General features: G+C 47.9%; 1 protein-coding gene across 12 annotated transcripts in view, besides 1 other annotated feature; it reads left to right on the top strand.

The window, feature by feature from the left end:
* The window catches only part of RSPH10B (radial spoke head 10 homolog B), a 44,716-nt gene that overhangs the window by 21,545 nt on the left and 561 nt on the right, over positions 1-22,610 (top strand). For 8 of the 12 annotated variants that reach the window (XM_011515204.3, XM_024446691.2, XM_005249659.5 and 5 more), the window contains 9 exons: positions 898-1,087; positions 4,129-4,243; positions 5,317-5,396; positions 5,835-5,983; positions 10,478-10,585; positions 11,406-11,549; positions 14,159-14,287; positions 16,432-16,525; positions 20,913-21,111. In XM_011515204.3, coding sequence (XP_011513506.1) covers positions 898-1,087; positions 4,129-4,243; positions 5,317-5,396; positions 5,835-5,983; positions 10,478-10,585; positions 11,406-11,549; positions 14,159-14,287; positions 16,432-16,525; positions 20,913-21,111 — 1,208 coding nt within the window. Of the gene's footprint in view, positions 1-897; positions 1,088-4,128; positions 4,244-5,316; positions 5,397-5,834; positions 5,984-10,477; positions 10,586-11,405; positions 11,550-14,158; positions 14,288-16,431; positions 16,526-20,891; positions 21,112-22,610 lie in introns of those variants that run through there. The other 4 variants (XM_011515208.4, XM_011515209.4, XM_017011870.3 and 1 more) reach the window with 3 other exon arrangements.
* Positions 921-1,421: an enhancer, noted in NCBI's record as "H3K4me1 hESC enhancer chr7:5987517-5988017 (GRCh37/hg19 assembly coordinates)". NCBI's record gives its function as "activates a minimal SCP1, AML or CMV promoter by ChIP-STARR-seq in primed H9 embryonic stem cells {active_cell/tissue: H9 hESC(primed)}" and the evidence as "EXISTENCE:reporter gene assay evidence [ECO:0000049][PMID:30033119]".

Below are 22,610 nucleotides of genomic sequence, written 5' to 3'. Positions count from 1 at the left end.
TTGTTGCCGCCACTGAGAGGGGAAGCCAGCCCATTGCCATGTGAAAGGAAGTCTACTTTCCAGATAACTTGTTTTGTTTTGTTTTTACTGTTGGTCGGAGATGGCATTTTATTGACCAAGGGGGGTGGGTGGAAAGAATAAAATGCTTCTTGGCCAGGTGCCGTGGCTGACGCCTGTCATCGTAACACTATGGGAGGCCGAGGCAGGCGGATCACCTGAGGTCAGGAGTTCAAGACCAGACTGGCCAATATGGTGAAACCCCATCTCTACCAAAAATACAAAAATTAGCCGGGCATGGTGGTGGGCACCTGTTATCACAGCTACTCTGGAGGCTGAGGCATGAGAATCACCTGAACCCAGGAGGCAGAGGTTGCATTGAGCCAAGATCGTGCCACTGCACTGCAGCCTGGGTGACAGAGCAAGACTCCATCTCAAAACAAAACAAACAAACACTTCTTAAGTTCTTACAGTGGAAAGAGCTAAATGCCATTACTTTACTTGTATTATCGCATTTAATGTAGGACACAGGTGTTGTGTCTTTTGTTCTTTTTAAAATATTTAAATTTTCTTTCTTTATTTTGAGGCAAGGTCTCACTCTTGACGCCCAGGCTGGAATGCAGTGACATGATCTCGGCTCACTGCAACCTCCTCCCAGGTTCAAGCAATTCTGCCTCAGCCTCCTGAGTAGCTGGGGTTACAGGCATGTGCCACCACGGCCGGCTAATTTTGTATTTTTAGTAGAGATGGGGTTTCACCATGTTGGCCAGGCTGGTCTGGAACTCCTGACCTCAGGTGATCTGCCTGCCTCGGCCTCCCAAAGTGCTGGGATTACAGGCGTGAGCCACCACGCCCGGCTGTCTTTTGTTCTTAATCCACGTATGACTTTCTTCCTTTCAGGTGGAATATGCCGTCTTAAGAAATATTACAGAATTAAGAAGAATTTACAGCTTTTACAGCAGCCTGGGATGCGGCCACTCTCTGGATAATACCTTTCTGATGACAAAGCTTCACTTCTGGAGATTTCTAAAAGATTGCAAATTTCATCACCACAAACTAACTCTTGCTGATATGGACAGGATATTAAGTGGTGAGTGTTCCAGATCCTTCACATCTTTTGGTTTAAAGCAGAGGACCAGGCCGGGCACAGTGGCTCATGCCTGTACTTCCAGCACTTTGGGAGGCCGAGGCAGGCGGATCACGAGGTCAGGAGTTCAAGACCAGCCTGACCAACATGGTGAAACCCCGTCTCTACTAAAAGATACAAAAAATTAGCCAGGCGTGGTGGTGCATGCCTATAATCCCAGCCACTTGGGAGGCTGAGGCAGGAGAATCGCTTGGACCCAGGAGGCGGAGGTTGCAGTGAGCCAAGATTGTGCCATTGCACTCCAGCCTGGGTGACAGGGCGAGACTCCATCACACACACACACACACACACACACACACACAAAAGGCAGGGGTCCCCAACCCCCAGGCCAGGGAGCAGTACTGGTCCATGGCCCGTTAGGAAACAGGCTACACAGTGGAAGGTGAGCAGTGGACAAGCAAGTGAACTTTCATCTGTTTTTTTGTTTTGTTTTGTTTTGTTTTTTTTGAGACAGAGTTTCACTCTTGTTGCCCAGGCTGGAGTGCAGTGGCACGATCTCGGCTCACCGCAACCTCTGTCTCCTGGGTTCAAGTGACTCTCCTGCCTCAGCCTCCTGAGTAGCCAGGATTACAGGCATGTGCCACCATGCCCAGCTAATTTTTGTATTTTTTAGTAGAGATGGGGTTTTTCCATGTTGGTTAGGCGTGTCTCGAACTCCCGACCTCAGATGATCTGCCCGCCTTGGCCTCCCAAAGTGCTGGGATTACAGGCATGAGCCACCGCACCCAGCCTACCTTCATCTGTTTTTACAGCCATTCCCCATCGCTGGCATTCCCGCCTGAGCTCCGCCTCCTGCAGATCAGCAGGGCATTAGATTCTCATAGGAGCGCAAATCCTACTGTGAGCTGAGCATGGGAGGGATGTAGGTTGCACGCTCCTTAGGAGAATGGAATGCCTGATGATCTGTCACTGTCTCCCATCACCCCCAGATGGGACTGTCTAGTTGTAGGAAAACAAGCTTAGGGCTCCCACTGATTCTACCTGATGGCGAGTTGTAGAATTGTTTCATTATGTATTACAGTGTCATAATAATAGAAATAAGGCGTGCAGTAATTCGAATGTGCTTGAATCATCCTGAAACCAACAGCCCCCCACCGCTTTCCACCATTCATGGAAAAACTGTCTTCTACAAAATCGGTCCCTGGTGCCAAAAAGGTTGGGGACCTCTGGTTTCAAGGACAGTATCACAGTGTCACCTGGAAAGCAGTTAGGAAATGTGGAGGGAGCTGGGAAGGCCCAGGTTGGGAGACGAGTGTTCCAGAAATCAGCGCGTGGTCATTTCCCCCGTGATTACGAGGTACTTGATAAAGAGACAGTCTCGTGACATAACAGCAACAGCACGAGGTCACCTACAAAAGCAGGGCCAGCAATGCACGGTCTCAGGGTGAAATCCAGTCCACCCCCGTTCCCCTAAATCATGCTTTACTGGAACACAGACATGCCCGTTTGCTTACGTGTTCGTGACTGCTTTACCCCGAAGCACCACAGCTGAGGGATTGTGATGTAGACGGTCTGGTCCACCAAGCCTAAAATATTTACTCTCTGGCCCTTTACAGAAAGTTTGCCTCCCTCTCTCCCCCTGACCAGCGATCTATAGTAAAAGAGCACTAAATTGTCAGGTCAGAAATGGGGAGATGGCCAGGCCTCGTGGTTTACGCCTGTAATCCCAGCACTTTGGAAGGCCGAGGCGGGTGGATCACTTGAGTCCAGGAGTTTGAGACCCGCCTGGCCAATATGGTGAAACTCCGTCTCTACTAAAAATACAAAAATTAGCCAGGTATGGTGGTACATGCCTGTATTCCCAGCTACTTATTGGGAGGCTGAGACAGGAGTAGAATCGTTTGAGCCTAGGAGGTGGAGGTTGCAGTGAGCCGAGATTTCCAGCCTGGGTGACAGAGTGAGACTCTGTCTCTAAAAAAAATGCGGTGGCTCACACCTGTAATCAGCACTTTGGGAGGCCGAAGTGGGCAGATCATGAGGTCAGGAGTTCAAGACCATCCTGGCTAACATGGTGAAACCCCGTCTCTACTAAAAATACAAAAAATTAGCTGGGTGTGGTGGTACGTGCCTGTAGTCCCAGCTACTCGGGAGGCTGAGGCAGAAGAATCGCTTGAACTCGCGAGGCGGAGGTTGCAGTGAGCCGAGATTGTGCCACTGCACTCCAGCCTGGGCAACAGAGTGAGACTCTGTCTCAAAAGAAAAAAAAAAAAACAAAACAGGGAGAATCAGCAATGGCTTGGAAGAGTCTAGAAAAGGCCCTAAGTAGTCTTAGGATTGGTCTTGATTTCAAATTAGGAAGTTGATGTCATCAATTTAACAACTTTGGAAGTTTAACTTCTTTCAGCCAAATCCTGGCAGGCAGAGCTGCAAGCTTCTAATTATCCGCTTGAAAAATGAAGTATTAGAGCAAATGCCTATTTACGTCAAAGTTTAGTGTTTGAAACATACTTAAAATCCATTTAGAATTAGCAGCATTCATCAGATTGTGTCTCAGACTATTCTGGAAAACAGTGGGACAAGATTGACATCTTTTTTTTTTTTTTTGAGATGAAGTCTCGCTCTGTTGCCCAGGCTGGAGTGCAGTGGCTCAATCTCGGCTCACTGCAGCCTCCACCTCCCGGGTTCCAGCGATTCTCCTGCCTCAGTCTCCCAAGCAGCTGAGATTACAGGTGCCCGCCACCACACCTGGCTAATTTTTTGTATTTTTGGTAGAGACAGGGTTTCGCCATGTTGCCCAGGCTGGTCTCAAACTCCTGACCTCAGGCAATTTGCTGCTGCAGCCTCCCAAAGTGCTGGGATTACAGGCGTGAGCCACCGTGCCTGGCTTTCACGGAGTTTTAAATTTTTGGTTGGACGCTTATACACATGTTCAGAGCATTTTGAAATAAGCGCATATATTCAGTTCTTCGAATTGTATACCAGGCGCAAATAAAATGGAAGGTTCTAGCAAATGTCAGGCATCCTCTCCAATTTTCTTATTTTAGCCAATAATGACATACCAGTTGAAGAAATCCATTCTCCATTTACAACAATACTTTTGAGAACATTTTTGAATTACCTCCTGCATTTGGCGTACCACATTTATCATGAAGAATTCCAGTAAGTACTATTTCTGGACCCTTGTTGGGGGATGGGGCACAGCTAAGCTGTATTATTGTCATAATGCCCTCTTTTCTTCAGCAGTCATTTTTATTTTTTTGGAGATGGAGTCTTGCTCTGTCGCCCAGGCTGGAGTGCAGTGGCACAATCTTGGCTCACTGCAACCTCTGCCTCCCCGGTTCAAGCAATTCTTCTGCCTCAGGCTCCTGGGTAGCTGAGATGACAGGCATGTGCCACCATGCCTGGCTAATTTTTTTTTGTATTTTTAGTAGAGACGGGGTTTCACCATGTTGGCCAGGCTGGTTTCAAACTCCTGACCTCAGGTGATCCACCTGCCTCAGCCTCTCAAAGTTCTGGGATTACAGGCGTGAGCCACCATGCCCAGCCTCAGCAGTCTTTTTTTAACATACTCTTGAAATGAAGGACTCAGAACACAACCTTTCCACAAATATTAACCACAAAGCCATGACATACTGGATCAAAACTTTGAAAGCCCTTCATATCTGGTCAGTTCAATACTGCAAATATCTCTCGGGGTTTCTAATGCAGAAACAAATAGTCACAACCAAGTCTTCTTTCTTATGTCAGAATTTCTTGTCTTTCTTACAGCAAAAGTGGTTTTATATCTTTTTTTAAAAAAACTTTTATTTATATATTTATTTTTTTGAGATGGAATCTCGCTCTGTCACCCAGGCTGGAGTGCAGTGGCGCGATCTCGGCTCACTGCAACCTCCACCTCCCAGGTTCCAGTGATTCTCCTGCCTCAGCCTCCCAAGTAGCTGGGATTACCGGTGTCTGCCACCAAGCCCAGCTAATTTTTTGTATTTTTAGTGGAGATGGGGTTCCACCATGTTGGCCAGGCTGGTCTTAAACTCCTGACCTCGAGTGATCCGCCCACCTTGGCCTCCCAAAATGCTGGGATTATAGGTTTGAGCCACTGACTTTGCCTTCCCTTTCTATACTCTATACATTAGAAGCAAATTATTAAGTCTAGCCCGTGCTCAAGGAGAAGGGAATTAAGTTCCCTCTTTTGGAGGAGAAGTAACTATGGTATCTTTTGATGATTATCACAGAAAGAGAAGCCCATCCCTCTTCTTGTGTTTTACAAAACTGATGACCGAGAACATTCGTCCAAATGCCTTCCAGATAAAAGGTAAATACAAAACCAGTAGGATTCTATTTACCGCCCCATTTTTTTTTCTCAAAATATAAATCTGGGCTGGGCGCAGTGGCTCACTCCTGCAATCCCAGCACTTTGGGAGGCCGAGGCAGGAGGATCACCTGAGGTCAAGGAGTTCAAGACCAGCCTGGCCAACATGGCAAAACCCCATCTCTACTAGAAATACAAAAAAATTAGCCAGGTATGGTGGTGCATGCCTGTAATCCTAGCTACTCGGGAGGCTGAGGCAGGAGAATCGCTTGAGCCTGGGGGGCGGAGGTTGCAGCGAGCCAAGATGGTGCCACTGCACTCTAGCCTGGGTGACATCAAGACTCTGTCTGGGAAAAAAACAAAAGCAATAGGATTATATTTACTGCTATTTTTTTCTCAAAACATAAATCTGTAATCATTTTTCGAACGTTGTATTTTTAGGCAATTTATTCCGTGAGCAACAGCGGACGCTCTACTCTATGAGTTACATGAATAAGTGCTGGGAGATTTATCTCGCTTACTGCAGACCCAGTGCAGCGCCTCCCCACGAGCCTACGATGAAGATGAGACACTTCCTCTGGATGCTGAAAGTAACCACCTAAGTTCGATATTGGCTTTCTATTTACAGGCACTTTGATTTTAATTAAAGAAAGGCAGGATATTCCAGCTGTGATATGCAAATAATCAGGTGAAGATCTGGGCTGGATTTTCAGGACCATTAAATGTTTACTGAGTCTCTTGGCAGAACAGTGGTCTGTGGTCGTGGAAGGAACAGAAACAGCCGTCACCTGCCCAATATGCTAACAGATTAGGGCAAGACAATGGTCCATGGCCTATAACAATGGCCCATGGCATGCATATATATATATATTGCAATCCCAGCACTTTGAGAGGCCGAGGTGGGCGGATCACCTGAGGTCAAGGAGTTCAAGACCAGCATGGACATATATATTTATATATGCCATGGGCCATTGTCTTAAAAAAAAATATATATATATATAAATAAATATATATATAATAAATATATATATATTTTTAATTTTATTTTTTTGAGACGGAGTTTTGCTCTTGTCACTCAGGCTGGAGTGCAATGAAGTGATCTTGGCTCACTGCAACCTCCACCTCCTGGGTTCAAGCAATTCTCCTGCCTCAGCCTCCAGAGTAGCTGGGATTACAGGTGCCCGCCACCACACCTGGCTAATTTTTGTATTTTTAGTAGAGACGGGTGTTCACCATGTTGCCCAGGCTGGTCTTGACCTCCCAACCCCAGGTGATCCACCCGCCTCAGCCTCCCTAAGTGCCGGAATTACAGGTGTGAGACACTGTGCCTGACTGGCCTACAATATCTTTATTTATGCAGATCCAGCCATTTAAAGGAAGATAGGGCCGAGTACAGCGGGGCACCCCTGTAATTCCAGCACTTTGGGAGGCCGAGGCAGGAGGATCACTTGAGCTTAGGAATTCAAGACCAGCCTGGGCAACATAGTGAGATCCCCCTCTCTACAAAAAATAAAAAAATCATAGCCGGGCGTGGTAGTGCACGCCTGTAGTCCCAGCTACTCGGGAAGCTGTAGTAAGCTGTGATCGTGCCACTGCATTCCAGGCTGGTTGACAGAGTGAGGCCCTGTCCCAAAAAAATCCCCCAAAAAACAAAAAAGGAAAATGGAGGAACACCTTAGTCTTTTTGATGGACTGAAGTGTTGCCTGATCCTAGAATAGCAATAAAGTCAACTGAAATCTTTTTAAAAAGGAAGGACTTTGGAAGGCGGAGGGGGTGGATCACCCGAGGTCAGGAGTTTGAGACCAGCCTGGCCAATGCTGTGAAACCCCCTTTCGACTAAAAATACAAAAAAATTAGCCAGGCATGGTGGCCGGAGCCTGTAATCCCAGCCACTTCGGAGGCTGAGGCAGGAGAATTGCTTGAACCTGGGAGGCCGAGGTTGCAATGAGCTGGAATTGTGCCACTGCACTCCAGTCTAGGCAACAAGAGCAGAACTCTGTCTCAAAAAAAAAACTAAGGAAGTGGGGAGGATGGATATCATTTAAAACAATTACAGTTTATCGAAAAAGGAATTTTTAAAAGTTATTACTTGGGAAAATAGTGACAACATTTATACAATGTTCTCATACTAACTATTGGTTGTTTTTGTTCCATGATACTTTTTTTTTTTTAGACAAAGTCTCGCTCTTTTGCCAGGGTGGAGTGCAGTGGTGAGGTCTCGGCTCACTGCAACCTCCGCCTCCCGGGTTCAAGCAATTCTCCTGCCTCAGCCTCCCGAGTAGCTGGGACTAAAGGCGTGCATGACCATGCCAAGTTAATTTTTGTATTTTTTAGTAGAGACAGGGTTTCACTATGTTAGCAAGGATGATCTCAATCTCTTGACCTCGTGATCCGCCCGTGTCGGACTCCCAAAGTGCTGGGATTACAGGCGTGAGCCACTGTGCCTGGCCTGTTCCATGGTACTTTTAATTTGTACTTGTGGGAATACAAATGATTAAACAGAATCAAATACTAATGATACAGTGTTTTTACAAATTTCATAATGTTGTATACATATGAAAAATGGATAATAACCTAGTGTCTAACTATAGGAAAATAGTTTTGTTTTTTTGAGCAAGGTTCTCACTCTGTCACCCAGGCTGGAGTACAGTGGTGCAATCTTGGCTTCCTGCAACCTCAACCTCCCGGGTTCAAGCAATCCTCCCACCTCAGCCTCCTGAATAGCTGGGACTACATGTGTGTGCCAACATACCCAGCTAATTTTTCTATTTTTTGTAGAGACGGGTTATTGCCATGTTGCCCAGGCTGATCTTGAACTCCTGGGCTCAAGCAGTCCTTGTGCCTCGGCCTCCTGAAGTGCTGGGATTACAGGCGTGAGCCACTGCACCTGGCCCTTTTCATGGTTTCATTTGTTTCAAGCATGTTTGCAATTGCCCATTGAATAATAATAATAATAATAATAATAATAATTATTATTATTATTATTATTTTGACAGTCTTGCTCTGTCGCCCAGGCTGGAGTGCAGCGACCTGATCTTGGCTCACTGCAACCTCCGCCTCCCGGGTTCAAGTGATTCTTCTGCCTCAGCCTCCCGAGTAGCTGGGATTACAGGTGCATGTCACCACGCTCGGCTAGTAGAGACGGTTTCACCCTGTTGCCCAGGCTGGTCTCAAACTCCTGAGCTCAGGTGATCCAACCATCTCGGCCTCCCACAGTGCTAGGATCAGAGGCATGAGCCACCACACCCAGCCTCATGGAAGCATTTTTGTGATGACTGTCTCACAGTCTCTGTCAGTCAATTGTAACATCTTTGTCATCTTGGAGATGGCATCTGTGGATTCTCTTTTTTTCATTCAGTTTGAGATCTTCCTGGTTCTTGGTATGAGTTTTTTTTTTGTTGTTGTGTTTTTGAGATGGAGTCTTGCTCTGTCTCCCAGACTGGACTGCAGTGGCGTGATCTCAGCTCACTGCAACCTCTGCCTCCTGGTTCAAGTGATTCTCCTGCCTCAGCCTCCCAAGTAGCTGGGATTATAGGTGCGTGCCACCATGCCAGGCTAATTTTTGTATTTTTAGTAGAGACGGGGTTTCTCCATGTTGGCCAGGGTTTCACCATGTTGCCCAGGCTGGTCGGTATGAGTGATTTAAAAAAAAAAACATTGAAACCTGAACATTTGAGTACAGTAAGTCCTCACTTAACATTATTATTATTATTATTTTGAGACAGTCTTGCTCTGTCACCCAGGCTGGAGTGCGGTGGCACGATCTCACCTCACTGCAACCTCTGCCTCCTGGGCTCAAGTGATTCCCTTGCCTCAGCCTCCCGAGTAGCTGGGACTACAGGCACACGCCACCATGCGCAGCTAATTTTTTTGTATTTTTAGTAGAGATGCGGTTTGTCCATGTTGGCCAGGATGGTCTGGATCTCTTGACCTCGTGAGCCGCCTGCCTCGGCCTCCCAAAGTGCTGGGATTACAGGTGTGAGCCACCGCGCCCGGCCCCACATAACGTTATTGATAGGTTCTTGGAAACTGTGACTTCAACCAGTGCCGTGTGGTCAGGAGCTTAACTCTTCTTCATGTCAATTATTCTGCGGTCACATCGGTTTTGTTGTGCAGCACGTTGTTTCCCGACGTGCTTTTCGGCCTACAGCATCGTGTTAATATTTCACACCTGGACCGTGTTCTGGTCTCCCATGTTCTATGTCCTGTTCTGATGCCAACAAATACTCTGCTGTTATTTTGGAGGCACTAGAGAAGGGATAGAGAGGTAAATACGTGTGTGTGTGTGTGTGTGTGTGTGTGTGTGTGTGTGTGTGTGTGTGTGTGTTTGAGACAGGTTCTTGCTTTGTTACCCAGGCTGGAGTGCAGTGTTATGATCACAGCTCACAGTAGCCTCAAACTCCTGGACTTAAGTGATCCTCCCACCTCAGCCTCCTGAGTAGCTGGGACTGCAGGCATGCACCACCATGCTCGGCCTACATTTTTAATTTTGTGTAAAGACAGGGTCTTGCTATGTTGCCCAGGCTGATCCCCAACACCTGGGCTCAAGTGATCCTCCCACGTCGGCCTCACAAGGTTCTGGGATTACAGGTGTGAGCCACCATGTCTGGCCGCAAATGCCCATGTTAATCCAGAATGCTTTTCAAAATTATCAGTCTTTAAGATATTAATTTATGGCTGGGCGCAATGTCTCACGCCTGTAATCCCAGCACTTTGGGAGGCCGAGGCAGGCGGCTCACTTGAGGTCAGGAGTTTGAGACCAGCCTGGCCAACATATAGTGAAACCCCATCTCTACTAAAAATACAAAAATTAGCTGGACGTGGTGGTGTGTTCCTGTAGTCCCAGCTACTTGGGAGGCTGAGGCAGGAGAATCACTTGAACCCAGGAGGTGGACGTTGCAGTGAGCTGAGATTGCGCCACTGCCTAGCAGCCTGGGCGACAGAGCGAGACTCCGTCTCTCAAAAAAAAGAAAAAAGATATTAATTTCTGGTACACTTTCTTAGTTATTGTATTGATATAAATTGACATTAAAACATATAGCTGTTTACAATTATAGGCAGTTATGGTTTTTCTTTTTTACAGGACTTTAAAATGATAAATAAAGAATTAACAGCAGCTACATTTATGGAGGTCATAGCAGAGGATAATCGTTTCATATATGATGGAATTGACAGCAACTTTGAACCTGAGGTTTGTAAAGAGCCATCACAAATGGTACAGATCCAATTCAGGCTGTTGGTTTTGCCATGGATACCAAGGACAAAGAACCAAGATTTTTTTTTTCTTTTTTTCATTAGCCTTTTCACTGATGCTTTTTTTTTTTTTTTTTTTGGAGACGGAGTCTCAGTCTGTTGCCCAGGCTGGAGTGTGCAGTGGCACAATCTCTGCTCACTGCAAGCTCCGCCTCCCGGGTTCACGCCATTCTCCTGCCTCAGCCTCCCGAGTAGCTGAGACTACAGGCGCCCGCCACCACGCCCGGCTAATTTTTTTTTTTTTTGTATTTTTTTTAGTAGAGACGGAGTTTCACCGTGTTAGCCAGGATGGTCTTGATCTCCTGACCTCGTGATCCACCTGCCTCGGCCTCCCAAAGTGCTGGGATTACAGGCATGAGCCACCGCGCCCAGCCTTCAGCTGATTTTTTAAAAACAATTTTTTGTACAGAATGGGTCTCACTGTGTTGCCCAGGCTGATCTCAAACTCCTGGGCTCAAATGATCCTCCTGCCTCAGCCTCCTAAAGTGCTGAGATTGCAGATGTGAGCCACTGTGACCAGCCTAAGAACCAAGATTTGATTGAAAGCACTCTGAACACAAGTACCTAATATATGTGTGTGCGTGTCTGTGCGTGTGTGTGCATGTGTGTGTGTCTTTGTGCACGTGTCTGCATGTCTGTGTGTGTGTGGGCAAACGTGCATATTCAGATGTCAGGAAATAATGAACACCAGTCAATCAATGCTCTGTCTCCAGGTGTGTCAGAATGATGGAAACTCTCTGTGTTTTATTTTATTTCAGCTGGTTTTCCTGGAATTCTTTGAAGCTCTCTTAAGCTTTGCATTCATCTGTGTTACTGACCAAATGACTAAATCCTATACAAATGTTCCAGCTGATGATGTGTCTGGAAATAAACATGAAACTATTTATACAATACTAAATCAGGTAACACATAATATCTTAGAATTAGGTAATCTTAGAATTACAGAGCAAGGAGGGCTGGGCACGGTGGCTCACGCCTGTAATCCCAGCACTTTGGGAAGCCGAGGCGGGCGGATCACGAGGTCAGAAGATCGAGACCATCCTGGCTAACGTGGTGAAACCCTGTCTCTATTAAAACTACAAAAAAATTAGCCGGGCGTGGTGGCAGGCACCTGTAGTCCCAGCTACCGGGGAGGCTGAGGCAGGAGAATGGCGTGAACCCAGGAGGTGGAGGTTGCAGTGAGCTGAGATTGTGCCACTGCACTCCATCCTGGGCGTCAGAGCAAGACTTCTCAAAACAAAACAAAAAAACCAAACAAACAAAAAGAATTACAAAGCAAGGAATGGCTTTATTCTGGAATGGTTAAACCATCATCAAAACTATCTTGGCTTTACTAACCCTTCCAGAAAGTAATTTAAGAAGTCTTTCCATTTTCCTTTTAAAATTTTATTTTATGTGTTTTGAGACAGGGATTCACTCTATTGTCCAGGCTTGAGTGCAGTGGTGGAATCATGCCTCACTGTAGCCTTGACCTCCTGAGCTCACACGTTCCTCCCATCTTAGCCTCCTGAGTAGCTAGGACTACAGGCATGTGTCACCACACCCAGCTAATTCTTTTTTTTTTTTTTTTTTTGAGACAGAGCTTCATTCTGTTGCCCAGGCTGGAGTGCGGTGGCACGATCTCGGCTCACTGCAATCTCCGCCTCCTGGATTCAAGTGATTCATGCCTCAGCCTCCTGAGTAGCTGGGATTACAGGCGTGTGCCACCATACCTGGCTAATTTTTTATATTTTTAGTAGAGACGGGGTTTCGCCATGTTGACCAGGCTGGTCTCGAACTCCTGACCTCAGTTGATCCGCCTGCCTTGGCCTCCCAAAGTGCTGGGATTAGGCCTGAGCCACTGTGCCTGGCCTTTTTGTATTTTTTTGTAGGGATGGGGTTTTGCCATGTTGTCCAGGCTGGTCTCAAACTCCTGAGCTCAAGTGATCCTCCTGCCTCGGCCTCCCAAAGTGCTGGGATTACAGGTGTGAGCCACCATGCCCGGCCAAGATGTCTTTTTCACATTTTGGAAGTGTATATAGATTTTTTTAAGTTAGGGGAAATGTGTTTCCTGGCCATGATCCAGGAAGTGGACTCCTAGCCACAGCAGAGAGTTGCCGATGAAGGTGACAGTGCATACCGACATGCTGGGTGGGCCGCTAGACCACACTTTAGAAAATCAGAGGTGTTTTACTAGGAGATGTTTCGTTATATGGATCCAGTGTTTCTAAGAGTGGAAAGCCTGCTCAAGAGCAGATGTGTCGAATAGTTCCTGAGTGTGCGTGGGATGCTAACCAGGTCCGCAGGGCTTGCTCACAAGCATGGACACCCAGGCCAGGCGCGGTGGCTCACGCCTGTAATCCCAGCACTTTGGGAGGCCAAGGTGGGCGGATCACTTGAGGTCAGGAATTCGAGACCAGCCTGGCCCACCGTGGTGAAACCCCGTCTCTACTAAAAAGACACTGGAAACTGAACGTTCATGTCGTGCTCCCTTTTGACCAACAATTTGGGAGTGTGATTTAGAGATCAGAGAGAGGCTCAGCTTCAAACTTATCAAAGCTGATCCTTCTTGCTCAGCTCACAGTGGTTTCACACGCTCTAGTAATTTGGGGAGGCAAAGGTAGAATTCTGTTCCACAGAGGTAAGTGTGCTATGAAGAGGGACAGCAAGCTCCAGACATGTGCAGAAGGCTCCCCTTGAGCCGTCAGCTGAGTGTGCATGCATGTGAGGGAACAGCTGGAACCTAAGGGAAGAGCCGCCAGCAAGCAGGGGAGGGACCTCAAGGACTCACGCGGGGCTGGGAGTAGTTTGCATTTCCAGTCGCCAGCGTAGAGAAGCCTTCGCATCCATGAGGGGCATCAGGCTGGGTACTTAAAAGTTCACTCTGTGTGTGTGTGTGTGTTTCTTGTTTGTTTTTTTTTGACAAAGTCTTGCTCTGTTGCCCAGGCTCGAGTGCAGTGGCACAATCTTGGCTCACTGCAGCCTCTGCCTCCCAGGTTCAGGGTGATTCTTCTGCCTTGGCCTCCCAAGCAGCTGGGATTACAGGTGCACACCGCCACACCTGGCCAATTTTTGTATTTTTAGTAAAGACAGGGTTTCACCGTGTTGGCCAGCCTGGTCTTGCACTCCCGGCCTCAAGTGATCCGCCCGCCTCATTCTCTGAAACTTCTGGGATTACAGGCATGAGCGAAGCGCCTGCCCTGTTATTTATTTTTTTTAGAGACAGGGTCTTGCTCTCTTGCCCAGGCTGGTCTCAAACCCCTGGGCTCAGGTGATCCGCCCACCTTGGCCTCCCAAAGTGCTGAGATTACAAGCGGGAGCCACTGTGCCTGATTCGGTTCACTCTCTTGACTGAGGCGATGGTTTCACAGGTATAGATGTGTGAAAACACATCAAAGGGTACAGTTTATGTGTAGTTCATTGTAAATCAGTTACAGCCCATTAAAATATTGCGTGTGTGCATGTATGTATGCCTGTATGGATCTCTATGGAAACCAGAAGCCCTCTGACGCGTGTGTTTGTTCTTGCTTAGGACGCCCAGAACAAGAGTCCCAGCGCGGTCATGAGCCACGAATCGGATGCTGCTCACTCTGACAGTGCCAGGTCATCTTCCAGCAAGTTAGAACTCTCGCCTGATGTTAACAAAATAAGGAAATCAGAGGTTTGTCTTGGCAACTAACCGTGTAGAGACACCCGCTACCGAGTGCCTGCTCTGCGAAGAGCTCTTTTCCATGCTCTGGGGACCTAGCAGTGAACAGAAACCCACGCCCTCATGGGCTTTACTTTCCAGTGAGGAGGGGACACGGCAGCAAGTGAACAGCAGTAATAGCGTTTATGGGTGTTTACCAGGCGCCGAGCTGTCCCCAGGGACCAGCTCAGCATCCCCATGACCTTCAGGTACTGTGATTCTCTCTAGGAGGGAACCCAGGCCCAGAAAGGTTAAATAGCTTGGCCACAGCTGCATAACCAGTAAGGCATGGAGCTGGGGGTTTGTGCCCAGGCACTTTAACTCCAGAATTAGCACCGGTTACCGCAAGCTATGCTTCTTCCCACTTACGAGGTCTAAGTGACAGGAAGGGCATGTGGCCGGGGCGGGGGGTCCTGGCGTTTATTCTGGGTGAGTGGGATGGGATGGGACACCATCTGAGCAGAGGTGTCAGGAGGCTCTGTGGCTTCACCGTTGACAAACCAGTGAGGAAGCTCTTGGAACCATCCCGCTGGGAGGTGATGGTGACTGGGACTAAGGTGGGCTGAGGTCTGAGGTGTTTTGAAGGGTGCAGGGGTTGAAAGGCAAAGAGAAGGCAAAGATGAGTCCAAGATTTTTTGGCTGAGCATTGGCAGAATGGAGTTGCCATTTATGATGATGTGGAAGACGGAGGCAGGGGGCTGAGTTTTGGGAGCAAAATTAAGTGGTTGATTTTGGACAAGTTAAGCTTAAGGTGCCTGAACTGATGCCCAAGTAGCATGGCTGGAGGCAAGACTGGAGTTCAAGGGCAAACTCCGGCTGGAGGTAGAAATATGGGGGTTAGGGCATACATGTGGTGATTAAAGCCGTTAGGTCGGGCGAGGTGGCTCACGCCTGTCATCCCAGCACCTTGGGAGACCGAGGTGGGTGGGTCACTTGAGGTCAGGAGTTCGAGACCAGCCTGGCCAACATGGTGAAACCCCATCTCTGCTAAAATATATAAAAATTAGCCAGGCCTGGTGGCAGGTGCTTGTAATCCCAGCTATTCAGGAGGCTGAGGCAGGAGAATTGCTTGAACCTGGGAGGCAGAGGTGGCAGTGAGCCGGGATCCAAGATCACACCACTGCACTCCAGCCTGGGCAACAGAGTGAGATTCCGTCCCAAAAAATGTAATAATAATTAAAGCCATTAGTATATGAATCTAAGTATGGTTAAATTTTTTTTTTTTTGAGACAGAGTCTCGCTCTGTCGCCCAGGCTGGAGTGCAGTGGTGCGATCTTGGATCTCGGCTCATTGCAAGCTCTGCCTCCCGGGTTCACGCCATTCTCCTGCCTCAGCCTCCTGAGTAGCTAGGACTACAGGCACCCACCCCCACGCCCGGCTAATTTTTTGTGTTGTTAGTAGAGATGGGGTTTCACCCATGTTAGCCAGGATGGTCTCGATCTCCTGACCTTGTGATCCACCTGTCTCGGCCTCCCAAAGTGCTGGGATTACAGGCATGAGCCACCACGCCTAGCCGGTATCGTTAATTTTATACAATAAATACTGTACCAACAGACCCAGGTGACATTTTCAAGTTTTGGGGTTTTTTTTTGAGAGGCTTTCAGTAAATGCCATAATTCTGTTGTTCATTTCATTAATAATATAAATATTTTATTCAGGTTAAAATAGTCAAATTGGCTGGGTGTGGTGGCTCACACCTGTAATCCCAGCACTTTGGGAGGCCAAGGCAGGCAGGTCACCTGAGGTCAGGAGTTCGAGACCAGCCTGGCCAATATGGTGAAACCCCATCTCTACTAAAAATACAAAAATTAGCCTGGTGTAGTGGCGCATGCCTGTAGTCCAGCTACCCAGGGAAGCTGAGGCAGGAGAATTGCTGGAACCCGAGAGGCGGAGGCTGCAGTGAGCCGAGATCGCGCCACTGCACTCCAGCCTGGGCAACAGAGCAAGACTCTGTCTCAAAAAAAAAAAAAAAAAAAAGTCAAATTAAAGTCAAATTAGCTCAAGGAGAACAGCCTCATTAATAATTTTCTAATTAATTAAAGTATAAAAAAGCAGTTTTAACCCCATAATGATGTAAACGTAATATTTTGCTTTATGATTTTTTTAAAATGCAAAAGCCCAAGATCAAGAAGTCTGTAAGTCATGAAAGAGTCTCCAAAATGAATTTTAAATTGACTGGAAAAGGGATCACCTTTTTCTCATCTGAGAGCAGTGAGTATTTTAATTGTAGAACCTTAATATTTACAAACTGTTGCTTATGAATTATATAATGTCTATACTGTTTTACAACCATCTTTTTTTAATTTTTAGTTTCTTAGAGGCAGAGTCTCGCTATGTTGTCCAGGCTGGTCTTGAACTCCTGGGCTCAAGCGATCCTCCCACCTCGGCCTCCCGAGTAACTGGGATTACAAGCAGGCATCACCACACCCAGCACAACCATCTTTTTAAATAATGAGGCTGGTACAGCTGCTTCTGTTTCTCCTCCCTGGTTTGGAGTTCAAGTTCAAGGCGTGACCTTGCTGTGCTGACTCAGTCTGTTAGGGCAGATGCCAGTATGGGACAGCTGGGCCTCCCCTGGGCCCTGCACGCCCATCTCAGAGTCTGATGCCGTTGACTACATTGTTTTCTTACAGGCAACTTTTCTCTCTCAAGGGTCTCATTCTCTCGGATTTTTAAAGGTGCTCAAATTAAAAACAACACACAACCCTTATTCACTTCCTCATCCTCCTGTTTTATTATGTTTTCCTTTATCCTGGGAAGATCGCTCTTGAGGCCTCTCTGTCTGCTGACTGCGCTTCCTCCCTCTGGTCTGATTCCTCAGCCGTGTCCGTGTGAACTTCCAACCTCATGCCTCTGCTTTCCTCAGGGTCATCCAGTGATGATCAATGTCATGGGAATTTCCCGCTGTTACTCTGCTGGCCTTGCCAGTTGCACGTGGCCTTGTTTTCATGATTAAACAAGCCCTGGTGTTTCCCCTTTTCTTTTCTTTTCTTTTTCTTTTTTTGAGACAGGGTTTTACTTTCTTGCCCAGGCTGGAGTGCAGTGGTGCCATCATAGCTCACTGCAACCTCTGCCTCCTGGGTTCAAGTGATTCTCCTGCCTCAGCCTCCCTAGTAGCTGGGATTACAGGCACCCATCACTGCACCTTGTATTTTTAGTAGATGGGGTTTCATGATGTTGGCCAGGGTGGTCTCAAACTCCTGACCTCAGGTGATCTGCCTGCCTCAGCCTCCTAAAGTACTGAGATTACAGGTGTGAGCCCACCCGCCCCTGGGCATTTTTTTTTTTTTTTTTAAGAGGTGGGTTCTTGCTCTGTTGCCCAGGCTGGTCTTGAACTCCTGGATCCAAGAACTCCTGGATCTGAACGCCTTGACTCCCAAAGTGCTGAGGTTACAGGTATGAGCCCAACCGCGCCTGGTCTTTGTTTGTTAAAGAGATGGGGTCTTGCTATGTTGCCCAGGCTGGTCTTGAACTCCCGGGCCCAAGTGATCTTCCCGCCTTGGTGTCCCAAAGCACTGGGATTACAGGTGTGAGCCACCGCGCCTGGCCCTCCCCCTTTTCTGACGGTGTCTCTCTATGGCCGGCCGCCCACTCAATGGTGGACTTTTAAAGGTTCCATCCCGGGCCCTTGTCCTCTCAAAGGCCTCCCCTGTGTATCCCCCTCTACAGTGCCTGTCGTTTCCCGTTACTCCTCCTCCAGTGGATCATTCCCATCGGCACACATGTGCTGCATATGCCCAGTTAGGAAAATCTCTTCTCTTGGCCGGGCATGGTGGCTCACACTTGTAATCCCAGAACTTTGGGAGGCCGAGGCAGGCAGATCACAAGGTCAGGAGTTCGAGACCAGCGCGACCAATATAGTGAAACCCCATCTCTACTAAAAATACAAAAATTAGCCAGGTGTGGTGGCACACGCCTGTAGTCCCAGCTACTTGGGAGGCTGAGGTGAGAGAACTGCTTGAACCCAGGAGGCAGAGGTTGCAGTGAGCTGAGACCATGCCATTGCATTCCAGCCTGGGTGACAGTGAGACTCCATATCAAAAAAAAAAAAAAGGAAAAAAGGAAAATCTCTTCTCCCACTTTCCCCTCTAGATCCCACTTTCTTTCCCTGCTCCTTTGCTGCTAGGCATCTTGGGGGGCTGTGTACATGCTCACCTTTGCTGCTAGGCATCTTGGGGGGCTGTGTACATGCTCACCTTTGCTGCTAGGTATCTTGGGGGGCTGTGTACGTGCTCACCTTCTCCAGGACCTCTCCTGTGTGTCCCTTAGCTTTTGCTCCATGTGGCACTGTCCTCCCCAGGCCACTGAAGGCCCCTTTTCATCAGCAGTGACTCCGTGTTGCCACCGCCAGGAATCCTGCTGTCACTTGAACCGATCTCTCCATAGTCAGGAAAAGCGTCAGCTTCTTGAAATACTCTTCACAGAGATTCGGCCTCTGTGACCCCTCGTCATCCTAGGTTTCTTCTCCCTCTGGTGCAAATCTGTGGGTTGTGTCATTTTCTCCCGCAGAGCTCAGCATCCCAGCAGAGACAGGGCATTCCTGCGGTGCCGTAATCAAGACGCACAGTTCCTGTAACAGAAATAGAACTGAAAATGGAACCCCAGCTAATGTGTTTTCCTGCTGATCTGATTAGCAGGGAAGTGATCTCTAGTCCCAGCTCCAACTGGATTTTGTCCTGGATTTCTCTGGTTGTTCCTTTAAGTCCCGTGTGCCAGTCACCAGTCCTGTGGCTCCTGCCCTGTGTCTTGTCAAGGATCCCCTTGACCCACGTGGCATCTCTTCCAGTACCATTTCGTCTGATTACTGCATGTGGCAGCCGTGACTTACTGTCCTCCAGCTTGTGGGTGTCTAGTTGAGAGTTCATGAATGAACATAAGACAATCTTGCAGCCAGGTGCAGTGGCTCACAGCCGTAACCCCAGAACTGTGGGAGGCCAAGGCAGGAGGATCACTTGTGCCCAGGAGTCTGAGACCAGCCTCGGCAACATAGCGAGCCCGTCTCTACAAAAAAAATATCAAAATTCACCGGGTATGGTGGCACACTCCTGTAGTCCCAGCAACTTGGGAGGCTGAGGCAGGATGACTGCTTAAGCCCAGGAGCTCGAGGCTGCAGTGAGCTGTGATTGCACCACTGCACTCCAGCCTGGGTGCCAGAGCAAGACCCTGTCTCCAACCAACAAAAAGGAATCTTCCTTCACATTCAGTCTTGTTCTGACCTTAGAGTCCTGGATTGCGTATAATTTGATTCTCTGAATTTTAAAATCTTCCAAGTGAATAGATAACCAGAATTGCTTAAAAAGATGGAAAAAATTACGGTAGTTTAAGATTTAGAGATTCTTTAGCCTAGACAAGAAAGATAGAGAGGGATAACTATAACTACTAGGAAATTACTTTTGTGAGAGTAACCCGTTGTCTAGTTCTCTAGGAGAGAGGATTCACTTGGGATACACAGCTATCCTTGTCTCTAAAGGGGTTTCAAACTCTGAATAAATAAAAGCTTTCGAATATTTTGTCCCCAAGACCTAGGCCGGGTGCAGAGGCTCATGCCTGTAATCCCAGCACTTTGGGAGGCCGAGATGGGAGGATTACTAGAGCTCAGGAGTTTGAGACCATGGGCAACATAGCGAAACCTTGTCTCTATAATAATTAGCTGGGTGTGGTGGCACCCGCCTGTGGTCCCAGCTACTTGGGAGGCTGAGGTGGGAGGATCATTTGAGCCCAGGAGTTGGAGGCTGCAGTGAGCCATGATGGTACCACTGCACTCCAGCCTGGATGACAGAGCAAGATCTTGCCTCACAGTAATACTTAAAACAATTAGCCTCGTGTGGTGGTACATGCCTGTATTCTCAGCTATTAGGGAGGCTGAGATAGGAGGATCACTTGAGCCCAGGAGTTCCTCCAGGCTTCAGTGAGCCATGGTCATGCCACTGCACTCCAGCCTGGGCCATAGAGAGCTTGTCTTTAAAAAAAAAAGAAAAAAGCAAGAGAAACGAGTTTTTTTATTCTTGAAACATGGAAAATTAAAGTATCAGAAAACCCAAATTCTTAAGATAGAAAAAAAAGAGGTGGCTGGGCACAGTGGCTCATGCCTGTAATCCCAGCACTTTGGGAGGCCGAGGTGGGTGGATCACGTGAGGTTAAGAGTTCGAGACCAGCCTGGCCAACATGGTGAAACCTCATCTCTACTAAAAATACAAAAATTAGCCGAGTGTGATGGCGCACGCCTGTAGCTACTCGGGAGGCTGAGGCATGAGAATCGCTTGAACCCAGGAGGTGGAGGTTGCAGTGAGCAGAGATCACGCCACTGCACTCCAGCCTGGGTGACAGAGTGAGATTCTGTCTCCAAAAAAAAAAAAAACAAAAAAGAAAAAACGAGGTAGCAGGAAACTCAAAGGGAAGGCTGACAATCCCAGCCAGGGTCTGCTGAGCCCCTGCCTTGTTCCAGGTGGTCATGGAAGCAGCGTCCTTACTCCTCTCCCCTCTCCTGGCCGAGGAGAAGGGGGCCCACCCCAGGGAGGCTAGAACGAGAAAAAGCACGCAGACCCCCAATTGACAGCAGGATTGTATTCATGTTCAGCTTCATGAAACTCTATTCCAGAGAAATATGAGAGACCCAAGGATGATCGAGAGGAAGAGTTCAACACGTGGGTCAATAATATGTACGTCTTCTTTGTGAACACGCTCTTTCATGCGTATAAACGTGAAGAAGCTATCAAGGAGAAAATAAGGGCAGACAGGTTACGTAGCACAGCACAGGCCCAGCAGCGGAAGATGGAAGATGACGAACTGGAAGCAAGGTAACTTACGAGGTCCCTCCTCTCCTTCCCCAGCTGCTCTCTCTCTTCCTGTCTTCCGTAGCTGCCAGAACGCATCAGGACCAAGTGCTTTCCGGACAAGCCGTAATTTCCTATGGGCGTCGTTGACATAAAAAGGAATGAATATTTGGTCTCTGTTCCTGGCAGAACACCTGAAGCCTTTGTAACTTCCTGAGTAATGGGATAATGGGAGCATCTTTTGTTCTAATATTTGGTCTTAGTTTCTAGTTTTATTTTTTGTTTTTAGACAGGGTCTCACTGTCACCCAGGCTAGAGTGGGGTGGTATGATCTCAGCTCACTGCAACCTCCGCCTCCCGGGTTCAAGCGATTCTCTTGCCTCAGCCTCCCGAGCAGCTGGGATTAGAAGCATGCACCACCACGCCTGGCTAATTTTTGTATTTTTAGTAGAGACGAGGTTTCACCAGGTTGTCCAGGCTGGTCTCGAACTCCTGACCTCAAGTGATCTGCCAGCTTTGGCCTCCCAAAGTGCTGGGGTCACAGGGGTGAGTCACTGCATGCAGCTATTTTCTATTTCTTGACCCAAGAGTTCAAAACCTGTGGACTCTTTGGGGTAATGACTATATTGAGATGACTGGTAGCCAGGGGAGGGGCCCTCGATAGCTTCTCGCTGGAGCTGGTTGCCAGGAAACCAACCACAAGATTAGAAGGTTGGGACTTTCAGCTCCAGCCCAACCTCCCAGGAAGGGAGAGGGGCTGGAGATTGAGTTCAATAACTAATAGCCAGTGACTTAATCAGGTCTACATATTGGACCCTCCATAAAGTCCCCAAATGGGCTGGGCATCATGGCACATGCCGGTAACCCCAGCACTTTGGGGTGCCAAGGCAGGAGAATCACTTGAGTTTGAGACCAGCCTAGGTTAATACAGCAAGACCTCATCTCTACAAAAAATACAAAAATTTAGCCAGATGTGGTGGCAGGCGCCTGTAGTCCCAGCTACTTTGGAGACTGAGGCAGGAGGATTGCTTGAGCCTGGGAGGTTGAGGCTGCAGTGATTTGTTTGTGCCACTGCACTCCAGCCTGGGCAACACAGTAAGACCCTATCTCAAAAAAAAAAATACACACACACACACACACACACACACATATACACACACACACACACATAATACACACACACACACACACACACACGTAACTTTGGGAGGCCGAGGTGGGTGGATCACCTGAGGTCAGGAGTTTGAGACCAGCCTGGCCAACCTGGTGAAACCCATCTCTACTAAAAATACAAAATATTAGCCGGGCGTGGTAGCGGAAGCCTATAATCCCAGCTATTCAGGAGGCTGAGGCAGGAGAATCGCTTGAACTCGGGAGGCGGAAGTTACAGTGAGCCGAGATTGCACCATTGCACTCCAGCCTGGGCAACAAGAGCGAAACTCTGTCTGTCTCGAGAAAAAATTTTCTTTTCATAGATAGATGAGAAGTTTATTTTGGACTGTGTCGACATGGCATCAGTTATT

This window comes from Homo sapiens, chromosome 7 (genome assembly GCF_000001405.40).
Source record: "Homo sapiens chromosome 7, GRCh38.p14 Primary Assembly".
Lineage (NCBI taxonomy): Eukaryota > Metazoa > Chordata > Mammalia > Primates > Hominidae > Homo > Homo sapiens.
This window is presented reverse-complemented; position numbering and strand designations above follow the sequence as displayed.